The sequence below is a fragment of the Homo sapiens genome, chromosome 5, assembly GCF_000001405.40.
Source record: "Homo sapiens chromosome 5, GRCh38.p14 Primary Assembly".
Taxonomy (NCBI): Eukaryota; Metazoa; Chordata; class Mammalia; order Primates; family Hominidae; genus Homo; species Homo sapiens.
In genome coordinates, this window is record NC_000005.10 from 118,388,926 (window position 1) to 118,410,253 (window position 21,328).

At 37.7% G+C, this 21,328-nt stretch overlaps 1 long non-coding RNA gene across 1 annotated transcript in view, besides 1 other annotated feature; it reads right to left on the bottom strand.

The window, feature by feature from the left end:
- LINC02208 (long intergenic non-protein coding RNA 2208) overlaps window positions 1-21,328 on the bottom strand; it is a 211,152-nt gene that overhangs the window by 37,960 nt on the left and 151,864 nt on the right. The window lies entirely within an intron of this gene.
- Window positions 16,346-16,846: an enhancer, noted in NCBI's record as "H3K4me1 hESC enhancer chr5:117740966-117741466 (GRCh37/hg19 assembly coordinates)". NCBI's record gives its function as "activates a minimal SCP1, AML or CMV promoter by ChIP-STARR-seq in primed H9 embryonic stem cells {active_cell/tissue: H9 hESC(primed)}" and the evidence as "EXISTENCE:reporter gene assay evidence [ECO:0000049][PMID:30033119]".

The following is a 21,328-nucleotide window of genomic DNA, read 5'->3' on the forward strand; positions in this document are numbered from 1 at the left end:
AGGAAGGGGAACATCACACTCTGGGGACTGTTGTGGGGTGGGGAGAGTGGGGAGGGATAGCACTCGGAGATATACCTAATGCTAGATGACGAGTTAGTGGGTGCAGCGCGTCAGCATGTCACATGTATACATATGTCACATCCCACCGTAAATAGAAAAAGGATCAGAATAAAAGTGATTTTATCTAAGACCATCACTGCTTCATTAACTATTTACTAAACAACATAATTTATTTTTTTCCCAAACCCCTCACTCAGCAATCTTTTTTTTTTTTTTTTTTTTTTTTTTTTTTTTTGAGACGGAGTCTCGCTCTGTCGCCCAGGCTGGAGTGCAGTGGCGCGATCTCGACTCACTGCAAGCTCCGCCTTCCGGGTTCACGCCATTCTCCTGCCTCAGTCTCCCGTGTAGCTGGGACTACAGGCGCGCGCCACCATGCCCAGCTAATTTTTGTATTTTTAGTAGAGACTGGGTTTCATCGTGTTAGCCAGGATGGTCTCGATCTCCTGACCTCGTGATCTGCCCGTCTCGGCCTCCCAAAGTGCTGAGATTACAGGCGTGAGCCACCGCGCCCGGCCTCACTCAGCAATCTTGATACAGGGTAGTCACTAGCCACCTTTTATACTATGCTAAAAGGGAAAACTAGTATCTTCTCTCTGGTTGTGCTTTCTTTCTCCCTCCACGAAGAAACGGTGACTATATGAGGAAAAGCAAAGCAGAGAATGCACTTATTTTAAGAATTCAAAGTAAATTAACAGTAAGCCTAAGATTCTTGATGTGCAGAGACTTAGGGGTTGTAGTCCACCACCTGTATCAATATGTAAGTACAACTCTAAGGGTCAGGCTAATTCAGCACATATTAAACTACTTTCAAGATGGCAGTCACAAAGACCTGTAAGTTTAAAAGTTTAAAACCCAGCATCAGAGCAGTAACGTATAAAGGAATGACCAGCAGGCACATAATAAATACAGGGCTCTCTCAGATTTTAAGTCTTTTGTCACGTATCATTTTTTTTTCTTTTTACACCAACAAAGCAAGAGTAAATGTCATGTATAATTTCTAACACCTTTACTTTTATTCTTTTTACCTGATATTTTTAATTTTTATTCATTTATCAGGTGACTAAAAGATTTCAAAATGTATTTTCCTTAAATTCTAACCAAGAGGGTAATAGCCTAGATAAGGTTAGCAAAAATAAGCATAACTTAGAAAGGAGAGTTCTCCAATAGACAATTTGTATCCTACTATCAAAGTTCTCAATACATGGCCAGTGCCTGAGATAGGCACATCATACTTCTTTTGACCACCTTGGCAATAACATTTATTTTCAAATAAGCCATTATAGTTTCAATTGATACAGATGATCTTGTCATACAGTAAACTTGCAGATAAGATCTATATCACCTGTTTTGCACTACTTACTCAATTTAGGTAACCTTCTACCTTATCAACTACAACTCATCATGATTATTACTCAGTGTGTTTGTCCCTTAAGTCTTTTACTAAGAAATAGCATTTAGCATATTATTTTATTGCTGGAGGCCCTCCACAGTTGATCAATATGTCTTTGTTTCATATTGCCTTTTCCAAAAAGATTAATGTATAAAATGCATCATTTAAAAAATCAACTAATAAGTATGGACGTTTTGAAGTCACACTGAAAGTTGTATCAGTATATAATCTTAGGGGAAGCAAATTATGGAGCATCCATTAATAAAACACATTGGAGTCATAGAAAGTAACTTTTCTTTGCTATTAGATCTGTTGCCCTATTTGTTCAAATAGAAGATGCTTTAACGTTTTCTTCAAGCACAGCTGACATCACTTGAGTGCTTCTCTTTAGGCAAAAGAAACATTATTCCATTCCAATGCATTTCTACCAAAGGGCAAGTCTGTTCCAATAACTTTTTAGATGGCCAATGCAGAGCTTTTCCTTGGGAGCTCTGGTTCACTTGTTTGATCTACACTGATTTGTGCTGACATGTAAATGGGTGCCAGTCACTTAGAAAAGTAAATCTTTGTGAACTTTAAGATCAATTGAAATGATCTATGGATTAGTTAGCTGTTGAACTACTATGGTTGTTGCAAATTTTGATTTTATAAAAGGAATTTAAAAATAAACAGGCAAGGGAAGAAAGACGTTTTCTGCTCCTGGATCCTGAGGGTACACATCAGGGATTCAGAGTCAAATTTGCTTCTTCTGCATCACAGAATGCTTCACTCTGAGTTCCCAGGAAGTTTAGGGTTAGGTCATGCTACAGAGCCTGAAACGATTCAAAAGCTCACGGTCAACAGAAGTTACTATTGATAGGCAAGATATTTTGAAAAGAAAATGAGCATTTAGTGATTAATAATCTGGACCAGCAGATATTCCAAAGCCCTTTTTGCTCTTAATTTTTAAATAAAGTCATCTTAAAGCAGTTAACAATATAAACATATCAGTGGACTTTTGGACCCAAGTACATATATTGTGTTGTGTTTCAGTGTACGGTGTATTTTTTAATTTAGTCTATTACAAACCTAAATAGAGTTGAGGTTGCCAAGAGTCTAATCTTTCAATAATGTGTTACAGTAATTCAATTATTTTAGTAAATTGCATGATGCTATATACACTAAATGGCCTAAAGAACTAGGGATTAATCAGTTATAATAAAAACCCCAAATATAATTAAATACATAGGTAACTGTGTAGCTAACAAAAACTTAGTAACTAGTACTTTCATTCTGTTCAAATTGCCCGGGAGTGAGGCCACTAAAAATGTTTAGCAAACTGGATTCCTAATGGGCATTAGGTGTTCAAAAATGTTTCCACAATTAATGTCATTCATTAACTTGGCCTTTGAAAGCTTTCACCAAATATTCACTTCCACATAATTACTTTAACTAAAACTCAGTCATCTTATATTGAACATACAAACTGGAATGTAGAAATAGGATTTTTTTATCTCCTCAGCTTTATAAGGTTTATTTCTAGACTTCTAGAAATCACCTTTGTGCTCTAATGTCTAATATTTTGAGATTTTCTTTCCTATGATTTATATAAAATTCTCAAATGTTATATAGTTTATATCTTGTATATATAATCCCACAGATGGCACAAGGTTTCCTGGCCCTAAGGCAATATGTATGTTTTAAATCAGCCAAATGGGTAACTTCAAAGTAAAAGGTCAAAGGAGGTGTTGTGATGGAAGTCAGTGAGAAAATATGTGCAATTATAAACCATGCGAGAAGAAAATGAAAGGTTGGGTTCAAAAGGTTAGGAGTCAAGGATCCACCAATAACCTATATCCACATTTTACTAATACTCTCTGTATAGTTCATTCCTTTTTCATTTAATCAATTTATTCTCATGATTTTATAACGATGTCTGTGTGCCCATTGCGTGTCATAGCCAAAACTGTTCTCTAATGATAAATCCCATTAGGGCAGGAATATGTCGTTTTAATTTTCTCCAAACAACTCCCAGAACAGTTAAATGCCAAAGATAAGCTTGCTTTTACTTAGTGACAAGGATTCTTTTATTGTATACCATCTTCCCTCTTCACAAAGTCCTTTCAATTCAAAAATCGTTCTATAATATTGGCAATATTGGGATCGGATCTTGCAGAGACCTCATTGCCGCTCCGCTCCAAGAACCATTGGCTTTTTTTCCCCCCACTTCAAGGAAACACACTGGAGGCACAAAGACAAAGAGTCTGCTTGAGTCAACTCGAAGGCAGTTTCTCACGTGTGGAGCTCACATATGGTTACTGAACAGAGGGAGGAATGTACCCTGCTTGTTTTTGAAGTGTTTGGGTAATTTTGTTTGTGCTGCCATATGGCACCACACCCCTCTGCCCATATTTCAAATCTTTTGTGTGTGTGTTTTCTTTAAACTTTAGGAGTCCAGGCATACTTATAAAAAGAAGACAAGAAGTTATAGTTTGGAGATTTAATTATCTTCATATGTTGAGGACCCAAGACATCCATACCCCCTTATTCCACATTTAGTCACATGGACTCACTTGGGGTGCCTATTTTTATTTCTGCACCAAATCATTGCTGTTGATGCTCATAATGAGAATGATACCTCCTACAGACAGGAAGCGGGTAATCGTGGGACGATTCTCAGATGTAGGGATTCAAATTGGCAGCAAAGCACATACTATGATTCATTTAAAACAGCATTTTACATCCAAAAAGAAGGAAGAGACCTGTGCAATTATCAGTGATATAACTTTTAAGCTTTAAGATATTGCCTGGTAATTTTGATAATAGAACTTAATGGGGTGAAAACCAGTCTTGAGAATTTAATGAAATGTATCTGTTTGGGACTCAAATTGATAAACATTTTAAACTGCACATAAAAACATTATCTTCCAAACACTAAGACAGTCACACAATTTAAAAAGTAAATATAACTTTCAAAATGTTTTCTTCCTCATTAAATGTCAGTTGCTTCAAGAAGCAAACACCAATGTGTAGAGTTAAAAGACAATCTTCTCCCTGATGAGAGAGTTTCTCAGACATAAGTCTTTGTCTCACCCATCTCCAAATAAAAACTTTTGGTCTAAGGAATGGCTCTTAAAATGAGCCACCTCCTCTATCCCAGCTAGTCAGAAACTGTTTGTTAGTCCCTTTTGCTGTCTCCTTGCTATAAAGAGACCACCCCCCCATTAAGGTTTAGTGGAGCTCCTTCTTCTTTTGTCCTTTCTCAAGGAGTTTACATAGATGTGTGAGGGATAAACCAAAACCTGAGACAAGGGAGGTTTCGCCTTTGTACCACATAAATGGGTACAACTATAACGTATCGATAAAAAATAAAATTTAAAATAAGGGACCTTAAAAAAAAACTAATTGAAGCCCAAGCACAAGATACCAATGGAAAGCAATACTTAGAGGTAAATTCTTCATATCCAGAGTTTTCTGGCAAACCTAGACTTTTTAAAAAAAAACATTAGATTGGTCAGAATTTTTTAAACTAGAAATCATGAACAACTTGTATGCATAGAAGCAAGGTTGTCAACTTCTATTTGCATTTTAGTATCTCTGCCAGTAAGCTATAGATTGGCAATTTTCCATTTGGAGAGCAGTGAATGATAATGGCATAATTAATATTAATAGAGCCATTACATCTCTACAAATCATTCACATATTTAAATGAAATCCCCATCTTACTCTCTCTGGGCTATTTTTGCATTGATATTATTATAACCTTTAGATCTCTATTTTAACTTCTGAAAGCAATTTACCTCATCAGTTTAATATCAAAGACAAAACTGACAAACCTCATTTAAATATAATTTTCATTTCTTATCTCTTTCAAGATTTCAGACTTTTCCTTATAACAGGCACCCTATTGGTACATCTCTTGGCTTTTGAAAATTGCTCACATATTATCTCCATCTATGTGTATCCCAACTAGGCAGGGCTCTGGTAAAATTCAGAGAGGTCTCTTTCTTAAGAAATAAAGCAGAATAAGAAAAATCAGATGGTGGACCAGATGGCAGGACAGGCAATATCAGCTCTCAATATTTTATTTACTTCACACACCTCACCTGGAATCTCCTAAGTAAAGAGAGGTTGCATATGCACTTGTTAGATGCAATACTGGACAGAATGTCAGAGTGAAACCACAGTGAAGGAACAGGATGGGTGCCCTTTACTGAAACAAAGCTCTGAATCTGGGTTGAATCTCTCTTCAGCCCTCATGATGATTCTTTCAATGGGTTGAAACCTTTCCATACGGTTGCTGATCCCTAATGAAAGACAGAGTCCAAAGACAGGGAACTATTTGATCAATAAAATTTGAGAGCTCATAAAGAGTAGACTTGATCTAAAATTTTGAAATGAGGAACAAATGTAAGAAAAAAAAAATGTTCGTGTGTGTGTGTGGTGTGTGTGTGTATCTGTCTTTGGATTTCTTACTAATTTGTACTAAAGGTAAACATTCTTATACCTAATTTAAAGGAATACAATTTTCATGAAAGAACCCAGAATATTTGTAGTATAGGAAGAAATTACCCCAATCTTGAACAAAATCTCTTTTAAAACTTGAGTAAAAATTTTACAATTTAAATTGATTGTTTAAATAATTTAGTCACTTCCAAATTTCTTTTGAGACTTTTAATATAGGCTATTACCAACAACAGCATTGAATTCTTCTCTGACAAACAGAAGAGAATTGGAGAACAAATTGATGATACTTTCTTATCTAGGATTGGCTCTTTAAATCTATTTTAAATTTAAAAATATAAATATCCACTCAAATCCTTTTACATAGTCACCTCTGTGCTAATAACTTGCATTTTAAAATTTTCAAATGCACATGGTTTGTAATTTTAGTCTGAGGTCATAGAGCTAGAAGACCATACTACAAAGAATATAGGCTCTTGAAAATTATTAAGACCTGGGTTGTAATTTAGGCTTCCCTGCTCATTATCTGCTTGACTTGGTAAAGTTCACTTCACCTTTCTGAGCTCCAGATTGCAAGATAGTTCTGAGGCTCACCTGCGATGATGCGTAAAAATAAAATTCCTTAGGCAATTGCTGACACATAATACACTACTGATAAATTTTAATTATGTTTTCATTGGTGACCAATCCAAAGAAAAATTCAATCTTTAACCTTAGCTTCTTTGGTACTTTACCCCCACCAAATAAGTTCAAGACCCCATGTTAATATTGTCTGTGACCTCAGTAATATGATCTTGGATTAAATAAGATAATACACCTGAACAGCTCTGAAATCTCTTTTAATGTACTCTTTGGTATGAGTTCAATAAAATAGTCACCTAATGGCCTGAAAATTATAGCAAGAGCTTCCCTAAACTGATGGTTGAGACCACAGAAACGAGATCAGTCACTAGTATTTATTTCAAACTTATACTCTGCTGCATATTTTATTAAGTTTAACTCCTTAAATCCTCTCAACTCTACTAGCTAAGTGCAGTTATTACTCTCATTTCTCAAGAAACAAATTTAGATTAATGATGTGCTCTAGATAGTAACAATCCTAGAACAATATGACTACACATGCACAATTACATAACACTGAAGTATAATAGTGGTTACTTGATTCCAAGTGGACCCCAAATTTGTTGAAATTCAGAGCCTAATAAAATTGATTTTCCTAAACTTAAATGAAATAGCTATCTTCTGTTTTCGTGGGAAGAAGCTCCTCAACTTCACAAGATGTTCAAAAATAGCATCAACTCCATCCAAAAGCTCCATTTCTGATGATGGGGAGTGGGAAGAGTGTGCATGTGTGTAATATTTTATTTCTGTGGCTTGTTGAGCTACTACTAATATTATTCAGTCTATATTGAAAATGTTAAGATTGTGGTAGAAATTTCATGCTGGGAATTTAAAGTTTCCATTTGTCTTCAAACTGCCTTAGATCTACTAACTACAGTTCTTAAAACCAAACCACACTCTTTGACCATCATGATGTCTGTCTGGAAAAATTTAGAAATTATTAAAATAACACAACACGTAAGCAAAAGTACATCTGAACCTTTTTCTCTCCATTATCTGTGTCTCTGAATTGTGCTTATTGTTTTGATTTCATATCATGATGATGTGTGGTTAGGCTTGACAGAAATTAAACTCTCACTGGCCAGCCTTCAAGAAGCGATCTCTTTAGCTGTAAGATATGTTACAGCTTCTATCTTTATTTTCAGGTTTTTAACTTCAGAAAGCATCTTCATTACATCAGGAAGACCATATTCCTATGTGATTAAACTGAGTCAGTATATCTACTTCAATAACTTTAAGTCAGATTTTGCAATATGTTGATAAAAAAGCAGGAGGTGATTGTAGTTTCTCTAAAAAGACTGATTGCACAGCAGGCATTAGGGAAAAAATGACAATAATCACAACTCCAGCTGCATAAATACACTTCATGTGCTGTCTTGTATGTTTAGCAGTTCAAGATGAATGGGAAAACGTGGCCTGGAAGAAATACTCTATTTTGATAATATGTAGTAAGGATCTGCACTTGCATGCTATTATGGCTATGCCATCTCCACTGCTGTGTCACTGAACATCTGAAGAAAAGAAAGATATACACATGATGAATTCAATCTACTTTAGGAATCTGGTGATTTTTTTACTTCTGAGTACACAATGGACAAGGTGTCCTAAGATCAGAGTTAAAGTTTAAGGAAGAGCCACATGAAAAGGTTCATGGCTCACATGAAAGATCATGTGAATATATATATAGTGATATAATAATTAAGTCAATTTTACGCTCAGCTTGACTTTTCTGATTGAACTCACAGATTATCAATCAAAAATTCATGACTGAACTGACTGTTAACTGAGCTGTCAGGACATATGGGTTAATATAGAAGAATCAGTCAATTATAAGAGGCTACGTCTCCTGAGATGAGACTTAGAGATGTTTCAAGAGGGAACTAGGTACTGAAAAAGGGGAAAGGTATCACTTTCAATCATTTTTACATAGTCCCAAAACCTTGAAACTAGGTATCTCTCAGGCTTGCTCTCCAATTTGATTTTCAGGGCCTGCCAAGGCTAGTCAGTAAGATTTATTAGATTTCTTGTGCTAAAATGAACACAGATGAAGTGTTAAAAATGAAACAGATTATTTGAAAGTTGCAGTGGACTGTCTGAGTCATCAGCAGTCAGTGTGTCAATCATCACGTGGACACTGAGCATCCACATGTTATACAGCAGCGTAGTCAACTGAAATGTGATTGGAATCGTCAGGATGACCCATTAGACTCTTGAAACAGCATATAGAAAGCTTCTATGATTAAATTCCCAACAGCACCCATCCTTTTTGTGTGATTATGCACAAAGATTAAGTGAGATTAAGTATATAAAGTTTCTAACATACTGTGTGGCTTATAGTAAGCACCAAACAAATATTAGTTATTATTACAAGTATGAGAGAGAGATTTTTAAAAGGTTGGATGGTTAGAAGAGCGTTAAAAAGTGAGACATCAAGATACAACAAAATTTTGGGAAACTGATAAATCAAAAAGCCAAATACAAATTCAGTATAGTTTTTAAAATGTTTGAAGTGTTTCTTAATATGCTTATTCGGGTAATTTTTTTTCCTCCAAGAAAGATGTCAGTAGTGTGTAACTCCTTTAAGACAGCTATAGAACTCTGACATACAAGCAAGAGATTTCCTAGAAGCTGAAGTAAAGATTGTCCTCAACTTAATCAAGTCAGTATTGACTTTCTGATAAATGTCTTTGTTTTATGTTATTAGTACCCTCATATTATCTTATTTTTCATATGTTTATCTTTCACTTCTTCTCTATAGAGCATTAGGTTATTAAGGTACAAGTACATTTTCTTATGCTTCTGGGTTTTTATTCCCCCATCCTCTTTATTATACTTTAAGTTCTAGGGTACATGTGCTACACCCATTAACTCATCATTTACATTAGGTAATTCTCTTAATGCTATCCCTCCCTCCTCCCCCCTCCCCCGACCCCACAACAGGCCCCAGTGTGTGATGTTCCCCACTCCTTGTCCAAGTATTCTGTTTTTAACTTTTACAACAGGGCCTTCCCAAAGGGACACACCGAATAAATATTTGCTTGTGTGAAAATATTACCAATTTTCTTTTCCATTATATCAGTATTATTACATTTATTTTCTATGTTGTTATTGAGTATAAACTCCTTTCACATATTAATTGTTTGGTCAAATTTCCTTATAAGTTTTCAAATACTGTTAAAAGGTAGTAAACAATAAAAAAAAAAAATCACATACAAAATCACATATCTGAAAGGTATATACCCATCCTTGTGAAATATTTTCTAACACTAAAAAAAGAAAAGTCAAAATAAAGCTTTTCTACTATGATTTCAAAAAACAAATTTTAAAGTAGTAGATTGAAGTAATTTTGCTGCCAAAATTACAGTGTTATTTTTTCAGAAATATAGGAATAAGAAGTTCATTGTTTATCTGTTTCACTTCCCACAATTTGATATGTAGCAAAAAAAGAACTTGAATATTCAAACCAACAGATACATCTAGCCTAGTGTTTCTATAACTCTATTTCTGTATTGCTACCTGAAATATATTAAGAAAATATATTACAGAAAATACATTTTTATAGATTTAGTGAAAGGATGAAAACAAAGTAGCTTAGTCCCAGATAAATCTAAAATGCCAATTGCCAGTGCCTACAGTGAGATGCTTTCTAAGACACAGAATATTTAGTTCTGAGCAAACTGGGTCTCTTGGTAAGAATCAAAAAAAAAAGAGAGAGAGAGAAAGAGCCTAAATAGGATGTTAAGTAGGATGAATTCTGCTCTCATGCAATAGTCTGGGTTCAATATACAAAGGGCTCTTTTGATGTGAAAACTATTATCAATCCTAACATCATACCATTTGACTCCAGGCTGCTAATGTAGAATGTGCATTTCTGCTAACCCAAAATGGAAATGCCATCTATGTTTCTGTGGCTGTTTACCTGATGACATGCCAATTCACCCTCATGTGCCTTCAAAGAAATTCAGGAAATGGAGAAATAAATAGAATGCAAGTGATTCAGAAGACAAATGGCTATCTGCTCTCTCTTTCAGTTCTATTTCTTTACTGGACCTTCTCTTCCTTGGAGGAGTGCAGCTAATGTAGATAATTCTTCTTCCAGCCAGAAATGAGAAGGATGCCAAACTATATACAAAACAAAGGCAACAACAGCAACTGTGTACGTGCAAGCACATGGACATTATTAGAAATGTAAACCTATTTCATTGAAAGATGATTTCCACCTAGAGAAAAACAACCCATCTTACCTGTAAGAGAAGAGTAAAATAATGGACTGAGCCACACCCACATGTCAAAGTCCCTAGAAATGACACTAAATTATACATAAGTTAAATCTGTAACAGCCCCTCAAATCAAGAAGTGTCAAAAAGGACCTAAAATTATCACAAAATCCTACAAACTAGAAGACAGATAATAGTATAAGAAACCACAGCTCAAAAGGTATGCAAGTCATTCTGCTAAAATGCTTACAGCGGGAGACATAGGGAGCAGGAGATGGCCCGTGGCATCCATCAGGCTGTTTGGTAAGATGCATATGGGTCCTCAAGGACCCATCCTGCCCTCAAATTATGGTAAACAAAAACACCAGCCTACAGGAGTGATGGGGAGCTTGCAGTTGAAAGGCCGATCATCCAGGGCACTGGTGATGATGCAGAAGTATGGGGAAACCACTGACCAGAAGATGAAAAACCCCTTCCTATCACCCCACAGCATATGTTTTTTCCCCTCAAAGAAATAGATTATATTTAAAAAATTGATTTGTTTCACAATAGGAGCTCCAACTGATTACTTATTTTTAAAGCAATTCATCATTTTACCTTGGTTCACTCAGTGTAACAGAAGATAAGGTAAAAATTGGACAAACATTGGGATTACATGTTGTTACAGAGCAATCATTGAGAATTCATGGAAATAAACTGATTCAACAGACATGTCAGTCAGGTTTTATGGAAGAATTTACCTAAATTCAGTATTAAAAAACAGATAAGTATAATAAAGACTTGAAAAATAAATGGGAGTAACTTTGTAGAAAAATTTCAAGTTTTATTTTAGATGCCAAGGGTACATGTGCAGGTTTGTTACCTGGGTATATCACATGATGCTATAGTTTGGGGTATGGATCCCATTTCCCAGGTAGTGAGCACTAGTAGTTTTTCAACTCACACCCTTCTCCCTTCCTCCTTCTTTAGTAGTCTCCAGAGTCTACTATTCTTGTCTTTACGTCCTTATATTCAATGTTTAGCTACCACTTACAAGTGAGAACATGTGGTTGGTTTTCTGTTCCTACATTAATTTGTCTAGGATAAAGGACTCCAGCTGCATCCATGTTGCTGCAAAAGACATATTTTGTTCTTTTACATGGCTGCATGTTATTCCATGGTGTAGATATACCACATTTTCTTTATCCAATCCACCATTTGTGGACACCTTGGTTGATTCCATGTCTTTGCTATTGTGAATAGCACTGCTGTGAATATTCAAGTGCATTTGTCTTTTTTATAGAACGATTTATTTTCTTATGGGTATACCACCATGGGTATTGTTGGCTTGAATGGTAGCTCTGTTTTAAGTTCTTTGAGAAATCTCTGGACTTCCTCCCAGGTTGGCTGAACTAATTTACATTCCCACCAACAGTGTATGAGCATTCTCTTTTCTCCACAGCCTTGCCAACATCTGTTATTTTTTGACTCAATAGCCATTCTGACTGGTGGTTTTGATTTGCATTTCTCTGATGATTAGTGATGATGAGCATTATTTTCATGTGTTTGCTCACTTGTATGTCTTCTTTTGGGAAGACAATGTTCATGTTGTTTGCCCATTTTTTTCTTTTCATTTTAAGTTATTGGGGACATGTGCAGGATGTGCAGATTTGTTACACAGGTAAATCTGTGCCATGGTGGCTTGCTGCATCTATCAACCTCTCACCTAGGTACTAAGCTCATTTTTAATGGGGTTAATTTGTTTACATTCCTCATAGATTCTAGATATTAGACCTTTGCCAGAAGCATAGTTTGTGAATTTTTCTCCCATTCTCTAGGTTGTCTGTTTACACTATGAATGCTTTATTTTCTGTGTAGAAAATCTTTAGTTCAATTAGGTCTCACTTGTTCTTGTTAGAATTGCTTTTGAGGACTTAGCCAAAAATTATTTGCCAAGGCCAATGTCAAAGCAGGTATTCCCTAGGTTTTCTTTTAGGATTTTTATAGTTTGAGTTCTTTTTATTTCATTTTAAAGTTCCAGGACACATTTGCAGAATGTGCAGGTTTGTTACATAGGAAAACGTGTGCTATGGTGGCTTGCTGCACCTATAAACCCATCACCTAGGTATTAAGCCCAGCATGCATTAGCTATTATTCCTAATGCTCTCTCTCCCCCACCCAAAACACCCCCAGCAGGCCCCAATGTATGTTGTTCCCCTGTCTATGTGTTCACATTGTTCAGCTCCCACTTATAAGAACACACAGTGTTTGGTTTTCTGTTCCTGTGTTAGTTTGCTGAGGATAACGGCTCCTAGCTCCATCCATGTCCCTGCAAAGAACATGAACTTCTTCCTTTTCATGGCTGCATAGTATTCCAAACACGTGTATACATGTGTAAATGCACCACATTTTCTTTATCCAGTCTATCATTCATGGGCATTTGGGTAGATTCCATGTCTTTGCTATTGTGAATCGTGTGCAGTGAACATACAAATGTATGTATTGTTATAACAGAATGATTTATATTCCTTTGGGTATATACCCATTAATGAGATTGCTGGGTCAAATGGTATTTCTGGTTCCAGGTCTTTGAGGAATCACCACACTGCCTTCCACAATGGTTGAACTAATTTACATTCCTACCAAGAGCATAAAGGCCGTGTTATTTCTGCAAACCCTCACCAGCATCTCATCTCTTGACTTTTTAAATATCACCATTATGACTGATGTGAGATGTTATCTCATTGCAGTTTTGATTTGCATTTCTCTAATGATCAGTGATATTGAGCTTTTTTCATGTTTGTTGGCTGCAAATGTCTTTTTTTAAGAAGTGCCTGTTCATGTCCTTTGCCCACTTTTTAATGGATTTGTTTTATTCTTGTAAATTAAGTTTCTTATAGATTCTGAATATTAGACCTTTGTCAAATGAATAGATTGCAAAAATTGTCTCCCATTCTGTAAGTTGTCTGTTCACTCTGAAAGTTTCTTTTGCTTTGCAGAAGCTCTTTAGTTTAATTAGATCCCATTTGTGAACTTTTGCTTTTGTTGCAATTGCTTTTGATTTTTTGTCATAAAGTACTTTCCTGTGCCTATGTCCTAAATGGAAATGCCTAGGTTTTCTTCTAGGGTTTTTATAGGTTTGGGTTTTGCATTTAAGTCTTAATCCATCCAGTTTCAATTTTCTTCATATGGCTAGTCAGTCCTCCCAGCACCACTTATTTTTTATTATTTTTATTATACTTTAAGCTTTAGGGTACATGTACACAATGTGCAGGTTTGTTACATATGTATACATGTGCCATGCTGGTGTGCTGCACCCATTAACTAGTCATTTAGCATTAGGTATATCTCCTAATGCTATCCCTCCCCCCTCCCCCCACCCCACAACAATCCCCAGAGTGTGATGTTCCCCTTCCTGTGTCCAAGTGTTCTCATTGTTCAATTCCCACCTATGAGTGAGAACATGTGGTGTTTGGTTTTTTGTCCTTGTGATAGTTTACTGAGAATGATGATTTCCAATTTCATCCATGTCCCTACAAAGGACATGAACTCATCGTTTTTTATGGCTGCATAGTATTCCATCGTGTATATGTGCCACATTTTCTTAATCCAGTCTATCATTGTTGGACATCTGTGTTGGTTCCAAGTCTTTGCTATTGTGAATAGTGCCACAATAAACATACGTGTGCATGTGTCTTTATAGCAGCATGATTTATAGTCCTTTGGGTATATACCCAGTAATGGGATGGCTGGGTCAAATGGTATACAGGCAACCTACAAAACGGGAGAAAATTTTCGCAACCTACTCATCTGACAAAGGGCTAATATCCAGAATCTACAATGAACTCAAACAAATTTACAAGAAAAAAAACAAACAACCCCATCAAAAATTGGGCAAAGGATATAAGCAGACACTTCTCAAAAGAAGACATTTATGCAGCCAACAGACACATGAAAAAATGCTCTTCATCATTGGCCATCAGAGAAATGCAAATCAAAACCGCAATGAGATACCATCTGCCACCAGTTAGAATGGCGATCATTAAAAAAGTCAGGAAACAACAGGTGCTGGAGAGGATGTGGAGAAATAGGAACACTTTTACACTGTTGGTGGGACTGTAAACTAGTTCAACCATTCTGGAAGTCAATGTGGCGATTCCTCAGGGATCTAGAACGAGCACCACTTACCATATAGGGAATCCTTTCTCCTCCATTGCTTGATTTTGTAAGGTTTGTTAAAGATCAGATGGTTGTAGACGTGTGGTCTTATATCTGAATGCTCTGTTGTGTTCCATTGGTCTGTGATCTGGCCTTTTTTCTGGCTGCCCTTAATACTTTTTCTTTCATTTTGACCTTGGAGAATTTGATGATTATGTGTCCTGGAGCTGATCTTCTCATGCAATATTTTACTAGGGTTCTCTGGATTTTCTGAATTTGAATGTTGGCCTGTCTTGCTAGATTGGGAAAGTTCTCCTGGATGATATCCTGAAGTGTGTTTTCTAACTTGTTTCTATTCTCCCTCTTTCAGGTACCCCAATCAGTTTTCGGTTTGGTCTTTTTACATAATTCCATAGTTCTCGGGGGATCTGTTCATGCCTTTTCATTCTCTTTTCTCTAATCTTGTCTGCCTGTCTTATTTCAGTAAGATAGTCTTCCAGCTCGAAATTCTTTCCTCCACTTGGTCTGTTTGGCTATTGATACTTATGGTTGCATTTTGAAGTTCTAGTGTTGTGATTTTTAGCTCCATCAAGTCATTTATGTTCTTCTCTAAACTGGTTATTCTGGTTAACACACCCTGTAGTGTCTTATCATGGTTCTTAGTTTCTTTACATTGGATTAGAACATGCTCCATTAGTTCAGTGAAGTTTGTTATTACCCACCTTCCGAAACCCACTTCTTTCAGTTTATCCATCTCACCATCAGCCCAGTTCTTTGCCCTTGCTGGAAAGGTGTTATGATCATTTGCAGGAGAAGAGGCACTCTGGTTTTTTTTGTGGATGCTTTCTCATCTTCATGACTTTATCTACCTTCCATCTTTGAGGCTGTTGACCTATGGATGGGGTTTTTGTGGGGACTTTTTTGTTGATGTTGTTGTTGTTGCTTTCTGTTTTCCTTTTAACAGTTAGGCCCCTCTTCCCTAGGGCTGCTACAGTTTGCTGAAGGTTCACTCCAGGCCCTATTCCACTGGGTTTCTCCCACATGTGGAGTTGTCACTCATGGAGGCTGCAGAACAGCAAAGATGGCTGCCTGCTCCTTCCTCTGGGAGCTCTGTCCCAGAGGGGCACCGAGCTGATGTTGGTAGGAATGCTTCTGTATAAGGTGTCTGGCAAGCCCTCCTCGGTGGGGGGGGGTGGGGGTCTCACCCTGTCAGGAGGCACAGGATGAGGGACCCATTTTTAATGAAGCACTCTGGCTGTCCCTTGTCCAGACTGTCCAGCCTCTTCAGAGCCAGCAGGCAGGAAAGCCTAAGTCTGCTGATGCACAGAGACTGCGCTGTCTCTTGCCCCAGGGGCTTCATCCCAGAGAGATCAGAGTTCTGTCTATAAACCCCTGGTTAGAGTTGCTGAAATTCCCGCAAGGAGGCCCCCATCAGGTGAGGAAGGATGGGTCCAAGTTATTTTCTTTCTGAGGCGGAGTCCTGCTCTGTCACCCAGCCTGGAGTATAGTAGCCTGATCTTGGCTCAACCCAACCCCTGCTCCCCAGGTTCAATCAATTCTCCTGCCTCAGCCTCCCAAGTGGCTAAGATTACAGGTGAGAGCCACCACGCTCACCTAATTTTTGTATATTTAGTAGAGACTAGGATTCACCATGTTGGTCAGGCTGGTGTCAAACTCTGACCTCAAGTGATCTGTCCCCCTCGGCCTCTTAAAGTGCCAGGATTACAGGCGTGAGCCACTGCCCAAGTTCAGCCTAAAGAAGATAGTCTTGCCACAATCTGCTACAGCTGCTGTGCTGCACTGTGGAGAATTCCTCCTGGATCTAAACTGCCCAGCTTCCCCAGCACCAGCAGGGGAAGACAGCAGACTGGAGTTGCAGTGATGGCTGCCGCTCCTCTCCCCCAGAGTTCAGTCAGCTTAGGCAGCAGGCTGCCACAGTGATGGTCGCCTCCACTCTCCCAGGGAGCTCAGTCATCTTAGACAGCAAGCAGCTGCAGTGATGGCAGCCACCCCTCTCCCTGGGAGCTCAGTCATCTGACGCTGCAGGCAGCTGCAGTGATGGTAGCCACACCTCTCTACAGGGAGCTCAGTCATCTTAGGCAGCAGGCAGCCCCAGTGATAATGGCCACTCCTCCCCGCAGGAACTCGGTAGTCTTAGGCAGTCTCCAGCCCAGCAGCCACAGAGATTCTGCATAGCTCTGTGCTTGAGAATCAAAGGCCCTGGTGGCATGGGCTCACAAGGGGTATCTCCTGATCCACAGGTTGCCCAGATCCATGGAAAAAGCATGGTTTCCCAGCATGGTACCACAGTCACTCACTGCCTCCCTTGGCTGGGAGTGGGAGCTCCCCTTTACCCCATGGGGCTCCTGAGGGGGCCATCACTCCACTCTGGTTTTCCTTAATCTCTGTGGGTTGTGCCAACCACCTCGTCAGTCCCAGTGAGAGAACCTGCATACCTCAATTGCCAGTACAGGATTCACTCACTGTTTTTGTTCTTCTCAGTAAGAGCTACTGACTGTAGCTGTTTCTAGTTGGCCATCTTGGCCCCTCCCCTGTAGTTTGAGTTCTTAGATTTAAATCTTTAACCCATCGTAAGTTAACTTTTGTATATGGTAAAAGGTAGGGGTCTAGTTTCATTCTTCATATAGCTAGATAATTGTCCCAGCACTATTTATTGAATAGAAAGCCCTTTCTCCGTTGTTTGCTTCTGTTAACTTTGTTGAAGATCACATATTTGTAGTGTGTGGCTTTACTTCTGAGTTTTCTATTGGGCTCCACTGGTCTACGTGTCTGCTTTTGTACCAGTACCAAACTGTTTTGATTACTGTCACATAATAGTTTGAAGTCCAGTAGTATGATGCCTCTAGCTTTGTTCTTTTTGATTAGGATTGCTTTGCCTATTTGGGCTCTTTTGTGGTCCCATATTGTGTTAGGCCATTCTTGTGTTGCTACAACACAAGTTATAAGAAGTCTTAGGAATACCTGAGACTGAGTAATTTATAAAGAAAAAAAGGTTTAATTGGCTCACAGTTCTGCAAGCTGTATATGCATGGTGCTAGCATGTGTTCAGCTTCTGAGGAGGCCTCAGGGAGCATGACAGAAAACAAAGTGAGAGCAGATACTTTACACGGTGAGGCAGGAACAAGAGGAACAGGGGGAAGATACCACACACTTTTAAATAGCCAGATCTCATGAGAATTTACTCACTATTGCAAGGACAGCACCATGGGGATGGCACTAAGCCATTCATGAAAAATCTGGCCCCCTAACCCAGTCACCTCCCAATGCTGAGGATTATAATTCAGCATGAGATTTAGAGAGGACATCCAAACTATGTCATGTGTTAATTTTATATTTTTTTCTAATTCTGTGAAAAATGACATTGGTAGTTTGATAGGACTAGTGTTGAATCTATAGATTGCTTTGGGCACTATGGCCACTTTAGCAATATTGATTCTTCCAATCCATGAGCATGAAATGTTTTTTCATTTATTTGTGTCATTTGATTTTTTTCAGCAGTGTTTTATACCTCTCCTTGTAGAGATCTTTCATCTCCTTGGTTAGCTGTATTCCTAGGTACTTCATTTTATTGTGGCACTCGTAAATGAGACGGTGTTCTTGATTTGACTCTCTGCTTAAACATTTTGGGGATATAGAAATGTTACTGAATTCTGTACACTGATTTTGTGTAACAAATGGGAGTAATTTATAGTCAAAGTTAAAATGCTGTGTCTGAACAAAACCTACCAAATCTGCTCATTAGATTTCACCGTAGGCCCAACAGTCTCATCATATATAAGAATAAAAGGACCATGCTACTACAGAGTTTCATAACTACTTCACATCCTAGAATTACGTCCCCTTAAACTCAGCATCTCCCTAGTCCTGGTTACATGGCAGCTGTCAGCCTGCAATATCCACACTCCCCCAGTGAAACAACAGTGGCACAGAAGTCACACTCTAAGGCTATCGCAAGGCACATTTTCATCATTCTACCAGTTCCAAGGGGAGTGTTTGGAGGCTTCCAACTTGGGAATGAACTTGCCTCGCCCTCTCTGTGTGCCCATGTCTTCCACAAACCCAAGCCCTACCCTCTGCTTCTGCTAAGCCTTTGGACAGCCAAGTGTCTTCCTTTTTTTCCTTCTTTCTTCATTCATACCCATTGGCTCCATCATCTCACAGATCCTGCTTCTTTATTTCCTTTATTACTGTTATTTCCATCTCAAAAACCAGAATTTTTAGATACCCCTATTTTATTCCAATATATTCACTAGCTTGTGAGGCTTTTCCTTACAGTTCTTATCAGCTTCTTCCAATCTCTGCACCTCCTAAAATTGGAAACATCCAGAACAGATGGTGTTCATCTTTGCTACCAGATGTTTCCCTTGGGTATTCTGTCCCCTAAATTCCCACAGCAAGTGGAGTTAGGATGTTTTGGATTGTTTGGCTAGCTTCTCCATCTGGCAATTGAGCTTAAAGTCTCTAAACTGGAAGATGTAGAGAGAACTCTGTGTGTGTGTGTGTGTATGGGGGAGGTGGGGACATCCCCCTGATTAATGGAAGACATTCCACAAAAGATGGGCCTATAGACAGTAGCCATGCATTACAATGCACTAGCTGTTCAAGGAGGCCTAAATTGGGAAATCAAATAGCCGAAGTAAAAAAAAAAAACTAAGGTTCAGAGTGACTAAGGAGCTATTTTGATCGAAGAATGCTGTAGATTCTTTTCACAGTCCAAAGCTTCCACACACAAATCTTTTTTCGTAAACCCAAATTATAAAACCTCAATCTCGCCAGCTTTTGAACAGGACGTATATTATATTCTTTCCCAAAACAAGCAGGTATTTATCAAAAGATAAACATTTAAGCTCTCTTTTTCTTGATTTTGTTTTTATCAATCTACCATTTCACACATACAACACACACAACACACATGGAGAATGTTTCTCCAGAGTCATTTTAGTGTCAATACAGATGTCTTCACATAAAACGAATGAGGGCAAATAGGGAGAATATTCACTACTGAAGGCCTCACTTCTCTTCATCTTGCAGGTAGCAACTTTAAAATTGACTTCCCCCTCAGACTGTCTGGATTGAAAAACAGCTCTGCAGTTCCAGATAGGTTTACCACCAGCCCATCACTGCATTTCATGGCATCAATTGCTGTTCTGCTTAGACATTTTGACCAAGAGATTACATTTAAACTGAATTTTAACAACATGGCTTACCAATAAAGCATCAGCAGAAAAGACAGGAAAAGATTGAGGTTCAGAAAGTCAAGGTGAAGTTAACGCCCAGCAGCAAATGCAGAAGTTCTGTGCAACTTCGTAGCGCAGCTGAGACTGTTTTGCCCCTTCAGTATTCTGGCTTTTCTGAGTGGAGTTTTACTAATTTGTTTTGCTTTGTTTTCTCCTCCCTACAGTCCTTCTAGAAACTGTGCAAATGAGGAATACCAACCTCAATTTCATTCCTCTCATATAATTTTTCACTCTATGAAATTCCATAACTTGTATTTTCTATTTCACTCATGTAGAAAAAAAATCAATTTTCCTTTTGATCTACTATAAAAGTTAGATGTACACAGTAAGTCCATTTTGGGGGAAAAATTAAACTTTTATCCACAGGTTACTTTGGAACTTCGTGAGCTTAGCCATCAAATCTTGACAGGTTTGGGTTCAACTGTATCTGTTATTATGTGTTCTTTAGGACCTCATTTCAGTTAATAAATCAGGTTTTTCACCCTGTCAGAGGACAGCCTCTGACAGTACCACCAAATCTGATGCTCTGTCAAAGTTTCTTCTTTAACAGTTCAGCCATTGATTTCAGCTGAATAAAATAAAACACCATTTGCTCTATACCAAAGGTGTTCATATATCTTTTTAACCTAAAAATTGTATAACAGGAATATTATGTGATGGTCACAGCCCAATTTTATGTCACAATGTTCTAATACATGTGTTTTATTCTATATTTTTAAATTTTTCTTATCTACATGTTTGAAATACTGGGATTTTTTAGTGATAAATAAGGAACACAAATATGACACTGTAGAAGTGAAGAAGATTGAAATAAAGATTGAACACCAAAAAAATTATTGAAAATATGAAAGTTTCTAATATTAATTTTTACTACAGTTCTCAAAGCCTTAGTTAATATGAATTTTCTTAATCTTTATTTCCATATTCTAATACTAGCCAGGATATTCATATAGCAAGGTGGACTACAACTGGCCTACAAACAAGAGCCTAGATATACCAAATATTCTAGATATGTAGCTTCTGAAATCAATGTATGGAAAGAAATTAACTGTAAATTATGTTCCATATGTAAAACTGTCCCAATTGCAAATACTTTATCAGAAGACTGGCACACCCAAAACTCACTACATAGGATACTCTATCAGCTTATCTAAAATTTAAAGACAAAAATAAATTTAGTACATCAAGGTAATTAAAAGTAA